The sequence below is a fragment of the Homo sapiens genome, chromosome 4 (genome assembly GCF_000001405.40).
Source record: "Homo sapiens chromosome 4, GRCh38.p14 Primary Assembly".
In the NCBI taxonomy this organism is placed as follows: domain Eukaryota; kingdom Metazoa; phylum Chordata; class Mammalia; order Primates; family Hominidae; genus Homo; species Homo sapiens.
This window is the reverse complement of record NC_000004.12, coordinates 41,577,089-41,591,056: the sequence shown is the minus strand read 5'-3', so window position 1 is coordinate 41,591,056 and position 13,968 is coordinate 41,577,089. Positions and strand designations below refer to the sequence as shown.

Sequence of the window (13,968 nt, the reverse complement as noted above, 5' to 3'; positions counted from 1 at the left end):
TAAACATGGTTTTGGTTAGGTTTTCTACATTTGAAGTAAACTCCCTTTAACAGAAATGCAATTAAGAAACTCAGAACTTTAGGAATACATTACCAAAATATCTCCAGGAACTTACCACATAATTAATAGAATTTGGGGATTTCCTGTACCTGCCGTGTGTTCACAGTTGCTGCCTCAGCCTGTATGGGTAACAGTCACACTCCAGTGACTGGCTGATGTCCAACAACAATCAGCACTTGCCAGACTTTCAATGCATTTTTATTTGCCAGGAGCACTTAATGAGGATACCAGCTCTTCCACTGAGAGAAAAGAGCAACTCATTCTGCCTGGGGGAATTCTGGGGACGTTTGACCCAGAAGGTGGCAGCTGGGTGGCTGCTTGAAGCAGAAGAAAACATTTTATGGATGGGAAATGAGCAGAAGCACAGCGGATCACAGAAGAGAAAATGGGAGGTGGGAGGAGAAGAGAACTATGAAAGGTGAGACAGAGGAGGCCTCTGAGTGTCTTGCTAAAGATCTAGACTGTTCTTTAGGCAGTGGGGAAGCCAGACCAGCTCATGAGAACAGGAGTCCTGGGATCCTAGCTTTGTTTTGGGAAAAGATGTCAGGTGCAGAGGGAGAGAGCCAATGGGTGGAGGAGAGGGTCCATTTAAGAGGCTACTATAAGATCCCAGGCCTGGCGTGGTAGTTCATGCCTATAATTTCAGCACTTTAGGAGGCAGGCAGATCACCTGAGCCCAGAAGTTCGAGACCAGCCTGGGCAATGTGGCGAAACCTTATCTCTACAAAAATAAAAAAATTAGATGGGCCTGGTGGTGCGCACCTTAGACCCAACTACTCGGGAGGCTGAGATGGGAGGATGGCTTGAACCTGGGAGGCAGAAATTGAAGTGAGCCGTGATTGTGCCACTACACTCCAGCCTGGGCAAGAGCGAGACCCTGTCTCAAAAAAAAGAACAATTAATTAACTAACTATTTTTAAAAGATCCCAGGGAGAGCTAAACCAGAGGGGGAAGATATGAGCACCTCTCTTTGGATTGGCCATTGAGTGGATGTGGGGATAGAGGACGAGGGGAAAGATGGGATTTCAGGTAATGCCATGGTTTTTAGACATTGAGATTGTCCTAAGGAACAGGGGCAAGAGGAGATCTGTGAGGAAGGGAAATAAACTGGGAGCACTCTATATTTAGAGAGCCCTAGCTCATCAGGGACTTATATTTGGGTTTGGAGTTGAGAAGCAAGGCCCCTGCAGAATATGTAGGTTTGGGAATCACCAGCCCAGGAACACAGGAGAAGCCAAGGGAAAGCAGGATATTTCCTGGGAGAGGTCAGACACAGAACGAGCGAGGCTAACCCAGAGACATCATCCACATGTAAAGGACAGTTAGAGGAGGACAAGTTCATCGTGCCTGAAGAAAAGCAAACATAAGCAGGAGGAGAACCTGGGAAGCCAGCAACAGGGAAGCCAGACCAGAGCACTGTTTCAGGAAGCACTGTGTGTCTGGGGTCAAATGCCACACCACCACACTGAGGATCCCAGCTCTGCCCCTTCCTGGCTGAATAACCTAACCCTTCTCTGTCCCAGGTTTCTCTTCTAAAAGCCTATGTCCTTACAAGTCCTGCAGAACCTGTTACCCACTACATTTCTGATCACATCTCCAAGGCTCTCCCCCACCCACCACCCCCGATGCGGCTTCAGCCAGGCACCTGCTCACTGGTCCTCAGACATGCCAGGTGAGCTCCTGCCAGGGCCTTTGCACAGCTCTCTCGCTCTCTTTTAACCTAGATATCACCTAGAACAACAATAACTGGGACATAAGAAGTAAATGCTCTTCCTCTTTTACCTTAGTCCCTCTTCTTCCAGGATTCTCATTCTTTCTCACCTATAACACCTGCTCTTTCATTTACAAACTTTGCTCTTTTCTCTCAGTCCATTTCTCTCTCCCCTTGTTGCCTTATTTCCTTCATGATCCAGTCTAGGCCACTGCATGTAGCTTCAGCATCCCCACCTCTTTGTCATTCTATAAGAGAACAAGGACTAGGAGGAGGAAATAATGCAGATGGAACAGTTAGCCTGGGACAATGATCCTTGGCATCGAACCCAGCCATCTCTTGCCTCCACTGGAAGAAGGATCAGCCGTCTGTCTATATGGAGGGACATCAGCTGGGATAACACTCCTGGCCCTCCCTCCTTCTTTGCTAAGTTGGTTTGGGAGAAGAAATGGGACATCTCTCCTCAGCTATTTCCGTTCCACGAAGACAGGCTCTCGGTCTCTGCCATGTGGTAAGGGGCCTCTCTCTGTGGCGGAGGCCTGTGGTTGCCCAGCTGTGCCAGAAATGGGTGGATAAATTCATTTAATTCAGGATTGAGGATTGGCAAACCCACTTGGTTGAAGAGCTAAACTCATGTTCTCCAATTTGTTCCATGAGAAGTCAAGATGATATTGTGATCTCTGTCTGATTCCCATGTTTATGTCTCAGCTAGAAGAGGAAGAGGGGAATATTATTTATCACCCTAAGTCCCTAATGCTTGGCTCCCTGTGCTACTGGACAAAATGCTGCCATGATTGGGCCTGGAGCTGCCACAAATTTATGAGCTCCCACATCAGTAGGCTCCTGGATCCACTTGTTAATCCTTCCAGGCATCCTTGGTCAGCCCCCTCTTCCAATCTTGGAAGAAGTGTGAACAAGCCTCCTCTACTTCCTTCCACCTCTCTGCCATGCCTTCACCTTCTGCTCACTCACAGATGTCATTAGCCCCCAAGATTTAAATCCCCTCACTTCACCCATCCCATATTCTGTATCTAAAAATTATTTTTTAAAAAGAATATAAAGTCATTCTCAGTAAACTATCGCAAGAACAAAAAACCAAACACCGCATATTCTCACTCATAGGTGGGAATTGAACAATGAGAACACATGGACACAGGAAGGGGAACATCACACTCTAGGGACTGTTGTGGGGTGGGGGGAAGGGGGAGGGATAGCATTAGGAGATATACCTAATGCTAATTGACGAGTTAATGGGCGCAGCACACCAGCATGGCACATGTATACATATGTAACTAACCTGCACATTGTGCACATGTACCCTAAAACTTAAAGTATAATAATAATAAAACAAAATAAAAAAAAGAATATAAAGTTTGATATGTTACGGTATTTTGAAGTAATCTGTTACTGTTTTTTCAATAATGGGAGCAAAGTGTGAGTCTGGGTTAGAATGATGACGAGTCAGTGCTTAGGCTATGTTAACTTTAACTTTTAAAGCTTATTCAAAGCTATCAATGGCATACTTGCTGTTTGAAAGGTAGTATGTTAAGTGTTTTGAGCAGGAAGGGGTCATGAGGGACTCTTATTTGCAAGTGAGAGAAATCCAGATGTAAATAGGCATATATTGGATTACAGAGTCCAGTATAACCCAGCAGGGCACAGGGTGGGGATGCAGCTGACCCACTGAAACAGCTGTAAACCAAGGCCTCAGGTACTGGGGCCCTGGACTTCCTTAATCTCTTGTGTGCCCACCCTGCATGTTGGCTTATTGGCTCTTGCTGTTCATGAGTTTCTTCCACACGAACCTCTAGTTCCCAAGTTTCATTATTGAAGGCTGGCACCCCGTCAGAGGACTGACTCTCTTCTTACTTGCAGTTTGAAAAACATCCCAGGAAAAGGCCCATATTGACCTGTCTAGGGTCAAGTTCCCTCCCACAGTAGCTAATGAAAGAGGATAGAAAGACCGTGAATCCTTGGCCAGGGAGGAGTAGAGGAGGAATAGTTTCCAAAAGAAGGAAAATGAGACTCCCTAGGGCAGACAAAACTATCAATACTGGCTGCACTCACAAAAGTGGATCAGATGTGGATTTTTCTTTCAAAGTTTTAGAGTAGAATGTGAATTACTACTATCATTTTTAGCATACAAACTCTTCAAATTTGGTTTTGCTTTATTCTTTTGGAACTATGCACTAAGCTGCAATGCTGCTTCCATTTGCTTAAGTTAACAGTCTTGATGCCAAAGAGAACCAACTACAAAATGAAGTGAGCATACATTACTTAATTAACTCTGCTTGGAAGAGCTTTGGAAGCACAATTCCTTGCCAGCATAGCATATATTAATTATTTTTTCCTCATAGCACAGTTAGGGAAATAGAGTGCTCAACCCCAAAGACTCCGTTGGCTCTTGCACCTTGATTTTATCTCTTTCTGGATTCCAGACTCATGACCATCCATACAGCAGCTGTATCGCCTCTCAAGGACTTGACATTCAAGCTCATTTGAGGGGCAATACCACAGTGCAGCCTATCAGGAAAACTGTCTGGATTCCAAGGAATCTATCCCTCCAAAAAATTACTGAACTATTCCCCAGGCTACTTAAACTAACCCTAAAACCCAACATATGCATTACTATATTATATGGCCAGATTGTTTTCCAACATAATTCACTAGTTGCATTTTGGGAATTGAATGAAAAATACCTTCACTTATTTTAGAATAAAACTGCTTAAACTATCTATCATATTCCATTAAACAGTTTCCATATATTTGACATGTAAAATATGACTGAGAGCAGTGATAAACTGTGGTCTGTGGATTGCTATGGGTTTGGTACTGGTCCATGATGAAATAACTGCAAAATTGAAAATAAGCATTTAGGCCAGGCGCAGTGGCTCATGCCTATAATCCTAGCACTTTGGGAGGCCAAAGCAGGTGGATCACTTGAGCCCAGGGGTTTCAGACCAGTGCAGGCAACACAATGTGATCTCATCTCTACAAAAAAATATGAAAATTAGCCAGGCATGGTGACATGTGCCTATAGTCCCAGCTACTTGGGAGACTAAGGTGGGAGGATTGATGGAGCCCAGGAGGTTGAGGATGCAGTGAGCTGAGATCACGCTACTGCACTCCAGCCTAGGTGACAGAGTGAGACCCTGTTTCAAAAAGGGAAGGGGAGAGGAGGGGAGGGGAGTGGAGGGGAGGGGAGGAGAGGGAGCGGAGGGGAGGGGAGGGAAAGGAAGGGAAAGGAAAAGAGAGGAGATGAGAAGAGAAGAGAAGAGAAAAGAAGACAGAAGAGAAGCGAAGTGAAGCATTTAAAAACTTTTATAACAATTTGGTATTCTAATCACATCCAACTGTGTGATCAATGAACTCATTTCACTGAATAGGGAGTATAACATTTCGGATGTTTTCCAACCTACATGAGTCATATATTGTGCTGAACTGTGTAACCAATGGTAGTAGAATCACGTATCAGTCTGAGATGAGTTGGAAGTTAAACAACAACAATAATAACAGGCAAATCAAACACAATGAGATATCGCTTCACACTCATTAGAATGCCTGTTTTTAAAAAGACAGAAAATAACAAGTGTTGATGAGAATACAGAGAAACTAGAACCACTGTGCATTGCTGGTGAGAATGTAAAATGGTGTAACTGCTATGGAAAACAGTTTGATGTTTCCTCAAAAAGTTAAACACAGGATTACAATATGATCCAGCAATCCCACTTTTAGGTATATGCCCAAAATAACTGAAAGCAGAAACTCAAATAGACACTTGCACACTAAAGTTTATAATGGCCAAAATGTGGAAACAACCCAAATGTTCATCAGCAGATGAACAGATAAACAAAATGTGGTCTATACATACAATGGAATAGTATTTAGCGTTATAAAGAGATGACTTTCTGACATATGCTACAATGTAAATAAATCCGGAAGATAGTATGCTAAGTGAAATAAGTCAGACACAAAAGAACAGATATTGCAGGATTCCACTTATACATGAGGTACTTAGAGTAGTCAAATTCATAGAGACAGAAGGTAAAACAAAGGTTACCAGGGTCTGAGGTAAGGGTAGGGGATAATGGGTAGTTGTTGTTTAATAAGTAAAAAGTTTTAGTTTGTGATGATGAAAAAGTTCTCAAAATAGTGCTATAGACTGAATGTTTGTGCCGATCAATGTGATGGTATTTGGAAGTGGAGTGTTAAGAAGTGATTAAGTCATGAGGGTGAGCCCTCATAAATGGGATTAGTGCCCTTTTAAAAGAGACCCCAGAGAGCATCCTTGCCCTTTCTACCATGGAAGGACAAAGAAAGAAGATGGTCATCTATGAACCAGGAAACAGGTCCTCACCAGATGCCAAATCTGCCAGTGCCTTGATCTTGGACTTCCCAGCCTCCAGAACTGTGAGAAATAAAGTCCTGTTGTTTATAAGCCACCTAGTCTATAGTATTTTCTTATAGCAGCCTGAACAAACTAAGACAAATGGATAGAGATGACAATTGCATAACATTGTGAATATAACTTACTAAACTGTACACCTAAAAATGGTTAAAATGGTCAATTTTGTTAGGTATAAAAATGCAAAACAAACAAACAAACAAAAAAAACAGCAATAAACACATCACAGAGTCCTAGAGATATGTCCCAGGAGATTCTGGATCAAATAAAGTTTGGAAAATGCTACATAAAATACTCCCCACTTGAGAGTTCATAATGTTTAGACTAACAGTTCTGAGAAATTCTTACTAAGAGACTCTTAATTTTAACTCAGCTTTTCCTAAACTTATTGGACTTCAGAATCCCTTTTTCCATCATACACCTTTTCACAGCTCATAAAGCACAGTTTAAGAAATGCTGAGCCAGATGAACTACTGAAACACAGTTTGTATTTTCACATCATATTCAAATAGGAGTCAAATAGTCATCACACTCTGGTTGTGGCTCATCATCTAAAACCCAACTTTCAATCCATTTCTACACTGGCAATGCCAACCAACCCCCAAGACATGTGAGACAAATAGGAGTCAAACATCAAGGTCTGATTCATCTCTGCATACTTCAATCTTTGCAACAAAGGATATATTCCACACTTGTCTCTATAGGGCTGCAGGTTAAGACAATGATTTACTAGTTAGGGGTGACCCCAGGAACAAAGTATTTCATAGTCCAGGTCAGGCATGTGGATGACATTAGGAAAAGAAACAGGCGTATAGAGGTCATATGAGTGTGAGTGCAAAGAGCCATGTCAATAGATCTAAAAACCATTATCCCTATCATATTTACAGATCACAACCTCTCTACTGAGAAGGCTAAAAAGTCAGCCAGAAAGGAAACACCACAAAATAAAAAAAAACCCAAAACAAACCTGAAGTAATTTCGGTATTCGGAAATTTCAGCTGGGGAAAAGTCCTCTTGAAATATTCTGCTGATATTAAAATGTGTATGAAAAGGAAGAAGAGATATGTAGGGTACGAATTCAAAGCAAAAAAAAAAAAGAGAGAGAGAGAGAAATTGGGTGGAAATATCACCACCACTCCTTTTATGTTTTCAAGTTTATCAGGTGCCTAACCCAAGATGGGGCTGCCTTTACTATTCCAATTTTTTTCTATGTAATTCAAAAAAGGTGTGGAGAAAAGCTTGTCTTCATATAACTCTAGATTCTCAACGTTGTAATCATGCACAAGTGGAAACCACATTTCATCGTCAAGGAATGTTGAAAAAAAAGTATATTCAAAATAATAAATTTTCCATGGATACTGGCTTCTTCTTTCCAACTTAGTGTTTGACCTAATTTATACAGTAAATCTAATGGGGGAAGTTATCTCTCCCAAATAGCACCTAGCACATTCTTGGCAACTAAAACGAGTTAACACATTGCATATGCTGTTCCTGTTCACAAAACAAGATATCTGAGAAAAAGGTCACCATGGAGGGGGGAAGAGAGGAGAAGGGTGAACATAAGGAATGTTGAGAGCCACCAGTGTGACTGCAGAGGACCCTTTCCTAAGCACTCAGGTTTGGGAAGATATAGACAGGGTTTCCTAAGGACAAGAAGTACTAAGGCCCTATAAGGTGTGTGGGGCTTTGCAATTTCTCCCACATTTAGTTCTCACAACCTAGCCCTAAGTGTGCCTACCCTCACAGATGTAGAGAAAGATGTTTAAAATAAGTTCCATAGAGTTATTGTTTGATAGGAACAGAGTTTCAGTTTGAGATGATGAAAAGTTACAGGGAAGGATGGTGGTGATGCTTGCACAGCAATGCAAACGTATTAACACCATTGAACTGTCCACTTAAAATGATTAAATGGTAAAGTTTGTTATGTATATTTTACCACAATAAAATAAAGTTCAGTAAAGTTCCAAGGGCACACAATACACCCACGACAAAGCTAACAGGTATGCCAGTCTGATTTAAAAGCCATACATAGTCTTTCCCTCCAACTTATAAAAATACTGCTGAAGATGATGATAATGATAATTATAAATATCAACATCATGATCATCATCATTACTGACTTATTGAGGGCATTCTATGTGTAAGACACTGTTCTAAGCAATTTATGTATATTTACATACTAAAGCTTCATGTCAACCCTATGAGGTAGATACTATTATTATCCCCATTTTCCAGATGAGAAAGTGAACTACAGAGACATAATGTAACGTGCTTAATGGCACACACGTAAATGGTTGAACCAACATAAATGGTTGAATCAAATCCTGGCCATCTGACTCCAGAACCCCTACCCCTTACCACTACACTGCGTTGCCTCCAGGTCTATAAATTTAGGCACATAGCATATAAAGACATAAACCTCACTAGCCTGAAAATGATGCCCAAACCAAGCATGTCAATAGGTTATAAATAATGTTTACATGGGCTAATAAAAGTGAGTTGCCACCTAGTCTCTCAGGAGTATATTCCAAAGACCAGCTTCAGTACCATCTTCCATCTAGTTTTCCATGTGTGCCTGTGGATCATGATTCCTTGGCACCACCTGATCCACGGTGGTAGGAACAACATACACATGCAGCTCTGGGTTACGGTTAAAGCCTGTGGCTTCGTTTTCCATTATTCCATGAGTTACCATGCAGGAATTCACACTCATGTATGTACCAACTATTTTAGGACTAGCACTATGGCTAGCACACTACACATTTTAAGCAAGTATTTTTTTAAATTCAGTTGGAAGAGTTTAAATAACATGTTCATTGCAGTATTATTAGCAATAGCCAAAATATGGGAACAACCTATGTGTCCTTCAATGGATGAACGGATAAAGAAAATCTGACATATATATTCACAATGGAATATTAGCCATAAAAGGAAGGAAATCCTGTTATTTGTGAGAACGTGGATGAACTCTGGAGGACATTATGCCAAGTGAAATAGGCCAGACTCAAAGATAAATTCTGTATGATCTCACTTGTGGAGTTTTGCTGTTGTTTTTTTTTTTTTTTTTTTTTTTTTGAGACAGAGTCTTGCTCTGTTGCCCAGGCTGGAGTGCAGTGGCGCGATCTCGGCTCACTGCAACCTCTGCCTCCCAGGTTCAAACGATTCTCCTGCCTCAACCTCCCAAGTAGCTGGGACTACAGGTGCATGCCACCATGCCCAGCTAATTTTTGTACTTTTTAGTAGAGACAGGGTTTCACCATGTTGGCCAGGATGGTCTTGATCTCTTGACCTCGGGATCCACCCGCCTTGGCCTCCCAAAGTGCTGGGATTACAGGTGTGAGCCACTGCGCCCGGCTGTCACTTGTGGAATTTAAAGTCACTGAACTCACAGAAGCAGAGAGTAGAATTGGGGTTGCCAGGGGCTGTGGGAAATAGGGAAATGTTGGTCAAAAGGGCATAATCAGTAATAAGATGTATAAATTCTGAGGACATAACGTGCAGGATGGTGACTATAGTTAATAACACTGTATTGTATACTTGAAATTTGCTAGGAGAGTAGATCTTAAGTGTTCTCACTGCATTTGCAGTGATGGATGTGTTAATTAGCTCAGTTGTGGTGGTCATTTCACGGTGTATACATATACCAAATCATGATGTTGCACACCTTAAATACATACAAATTTTATTTGACAACTATCCCTCAATAAAGCTAGAAAACAGATGATTGATTAGATGATAGATAGATAGATAGATAGATAGATAGATAGACAGACAGACAGATGAATGGACAGACAGACAGACAGTTTTCCTTCTTTAAAGGTTATCTCTGTAACCGTCTGGCTCTGGAATCCTTTTGAATGATAACTCTTTACCTTTCCAGTATCTTCTACAGTAATTGGTATAGTCAAGGTTTCTACTTCTGGGATCAATTTTGATCATTTATATTTTGCTGAAAAATCATCCTTTTCTGCTGGTTTTCAAACCTCTTACCATGAGTTTGTTTATACAAGTCTCAAAATGATTTTAACTTATCTTCTATTTATTGGTTTGCCATTTATTTTCTTTGTCTTTAGTTTGTACTCTTTTGCTATCTTATTTTCCCTTAAGTGGGCTTTCAACAGATTTATATATTTTACTGGTCTTTCCAAAGAAACAGCTTTCGGATTTATTTATCCATTATTCTATCCCTTTAATTTCAGCTTTTATCTTTATTAATTCCTTCTTCCTGTTTTTTTAGGTTTATTTTGTTTCTCTTTATTTCTTAAGCTGAGTAATGACTTGTCCTATTTTTTCTTTATTCTTTAGTAAGGAATAGAAAATTTCCTCTTTCACTGTGCTTAGAAGTTTTGATAATAAAATATTCTTTTTTCTTTCTTCTCTGATAACTTTCACTTCCAATGAAAATGGAAGTGATGATGTCAATATTTTCTTTGGTTTTCTTTTTGATTCCAGGGTTATCAGTGAGTGTGTTTCATAATTTGCAAGTGGGTAAAATTTTTTAAATTGCCTTCTTGTTATTATTTCTATACCCATTGCATCATGATCACAGAGTGTGACCTGTTCAATATCTCCATTTTCTTTGATCTTTTGAAGGATTTCTTTGTGGCCATGATTCAGGGGAAGGAGAGGGACAGTACACGTTCCATGGACATTTAACTGTCTATTTTTATACACTGACCATGATCTTTGAAAACGGACACGAAACGCATTCACTTAAGGATTGTTCTATAGGACACCTCACATGATGTGGTGAGAAAACCCATGAGATTTGGAATTTTAAAATCCTGTCTCCTCCATGCATAGGCCTGGAACTCAGTTACCCTGTGTGTCAAATGTAAATTGTACCTGCCTGCCTTACCACATTACTAGTGAAAATTAAATGAGCCTGGTGGTGCCCTCCCCGAAGGCTGTGCCTCCCCAAAGTCCCAGTTAACTATTGAAATACTGCCCTTAAAAAGCAGCTCCTCTGCAGCCCTGGTAAGCAACAGAAAAGCCTTCAAATGGAGACTGGGTCTTGTCAGGCACCACAGACCATGAAGCATTGAGAAACAAACAGACCGCTACATGTATGTTACACATGCCAAGAGGATACCAGAGAAAGGCAATCATCCCCTATCATGCATCCTCTGAAGCAGTTAAGTGTTTTAAATTCCTTAAAACACTGAGTGTACAGTGGGGGAGGAGAGAAAAGACTTAAAGCAATTTTGCTGTTACACTCAGCAGTGTAAAGAATATTTTTGAAACTAAAGACTGATTGAAAAGGACATCAAAAGAGTTTGATTTGTTTGATGTTTAGACACATATACATGATGCGGATCACTGTTACATTAACGATGACCGTCTGTACGCCAGATGGACTGCACAACTATGTCAAGAGACATCTGACACAGTGTGCCATTTGAAAAGCAGATTAAGGTAAAACCATCCTAACACAAATGATTCCCCCATCTCATGTTTAAGGGTGCAACAAGCTATTGTGAGTTAAAATAATTCAGAAAATTGCAATTAACTTTTAAGACCTTTCCTGCCTCAGTAAATGCCACTGCGTAAGGATCAGAAGTGGTGACATTATGCCCGATCAATTTCAATGACTAGGCCAGACTCTTACGGAACAGGAGGTGGTAAACAGCCCTGATATTGAGAGGTACAAAGTCAGATATAACCTAGCAGCTGGCCTGTAGACTTACATAATCATTTTACACTTGACATTTCTATAACAGCTCTTATTCTGAGCACCTTGACTGGCAAAAAGAAGAAAGCCAAGATATGTGCTACTCCATTCTCCCAGAACCTTCTTTTAAGGTTTTGGTCCCATTAAAAAAAAAAAAAAATCACACATTTTTCTTCTGTTAGTTTTATTCATAAGAAATATAAATAGAGCTGGGTGCAGTGGTTCACATTTGTAAGCTCAGCGCTTTGGGAGGCTGAGGCAGGAGAATCCCTTGAGGCCAGGAGTTTGAGACCAGCCTGGAAAACATAGTGAGACCCTGTCTCTATAAAAAAATTTAAAAATTAGCCAGGTGTGGGTTTGCATGCCTGTAATCCTAGCTACTGGGTCACTTGAGCCCAATAGTTCAAGGCTACAGGGAGCTATGACTTCATTTCACTCTAGCCTGGGCAACCAAGTGAGACCCTATCAAAGGAGGGGAGGGGAGGGGAGTGGAAGGGAAGGGGGAAAAGAAGAAAAGAAAAGAAGAAATACTAATGGTCAATAAATGTGTGGGGGGAAATTTGGCCTACTCCCCAAAAACATTTTAATGCTAATTAAAACAACAGCAGAGAAAGAGTTTTACCCATCAAATTGGCCAAGATGAATAAGAATTATAAGATCCAGTGTTGGGAAGATATAAAGAAGTTGACAGTCTCAGATTCAGCTATCAAGGGTGTAAATTGGTTCTATACTATATTTTAGAAGAGTGATTTAGAAATTGATATGGTTTGACTATGTCCCCACCCATATCTCATCTGGAATTGTAATTTGAATTGTAATCGTCACATGTCAAGGGAGGGTCCAGGTGAGAGGTGATCGGCTCATGGGGGCAGTTTCCTCTACGCTGTTCTCATGATAATGAGAGAGTTCTCACGAGATCTGGTTGTTTGATAAGTGTCTGGTGCTTCCCCCTTCTCTCTCTCCTGCTGCCATGTAAGATGTGCTTTGCTTCCTCTTCATTCTACGCCATGATTGTAAGTTTCCTGAGGCTTCCTCAGCATGCAGAACTGTGAGTCAATTAAACCTCCTTATAAATTACCCAGTCATCTTAAAATGATATACATGAAAATAATTCAGTAAGCATTGTAGGGCTGGTATAGAAATGGGTGCCAAAAGCCTTAGGATTTGGCATTTGTTGGATTCAGATACACTTTTTTGAGGAATCTATCCTAAAGAAATACAAATGGACATTCACAAAGCTTTTTATGAAAGAATGCCCATTGCAACATTGTTTAAAATGAAAAACTGGAACAACATGAATGTTCAACAACAAGAGATCGCTTAAATAGAATTATGGTATACACTTATGTTGGAAATTATTATGGTATATACTTACGTTGGTATATGCTTATGTTAGGCATTAAAATAATTTGAAGAAGTTTAATCCTGAAGTCCAAATGATGCCAATATTCAAAAAGATGTGTATAAAAAAAATCACTTGTGGCAAGGCGTGGTAGCTCACACTTGTAATCTCAGTGCTTTGGGAGGCCGAGTCTAGAGGATTGCTTGAGCCCAGGAGTTCAAGACAGCCTGAGCAACATAGGGTGACCCCATCTCTACAAAAAATTTTAAAACTAGCCGGGTGTGGTGGCACATACCTGTAGTCTCGGTTATTCAGGAAGCTGAGATAGGAGGATCACTTGGGCCTAAAGGGTTGAGGCTGCAGTGAGTTGTGATCATGCCACTACACTTCAGCCTGGGTGAGAGAGCAAGACCTTGTCTCAAAAAGTAAATAAATAAATAAATCACTTGCAACTGAACTATTCGGAATAAGCACTGTTAACACTAGGATGTATAATTTTAAAGTTGTTTTTCTATATAGATATATAATTTTTCCTCCCTTTCTAAAATTCTGGGCTTTCCTAATAGGTAGTTTATTCACATGGTTAAAAAAGTACAGAAACGGGTATACTGTAAAGTTTCCCTTTTAGTTCTGGTCTCCAGCCACCAAGATTCCAAGCCCTAAAACAACTAATATTTTCAGTTTTTTATACGTATTTCCAGAAGTATTTGGTGTACAGTCATCCCTCGGTACATGCAGGGAATTGGTTCCAGGACCCCTAAGTATATTAAAATCCATGT

At 40.6% G+C, this 13,968-nt stretch overlaps 1 protein-coding gene and 1 long non-coding RNA gene across 42 annotated transcripts in view; one reads left to right on the top strand and one right to left on the bottom strand.

Moving 5' to 3' along the window:
- LIMCH1 (LIM and calponin homology domains 1) overlaps positions 1–13,968 on the bottom strand; it is a 340,438-nt gene that overhangs the window by 108,988 nt on the left and 217,482 nt on the right. The gene's annotated exons all lie outside the window — the stretch shown is intronic.
- LOC105374423 (uncharacterized) overlaps positions 9,143–13,968 on the top strand; it is a 38,461-nt gene continuing 33,635 nt past the window's right edge. Inside the window, exon 1 of the long non-coding RNA XR_001741667.2 lies at positions 9,143–13,968. This exon is cut by the window's right edge and continues 23,500 nt beyond it. This is a non-coding gene — a long non-coding RNA (uncharacterized LOC105374423).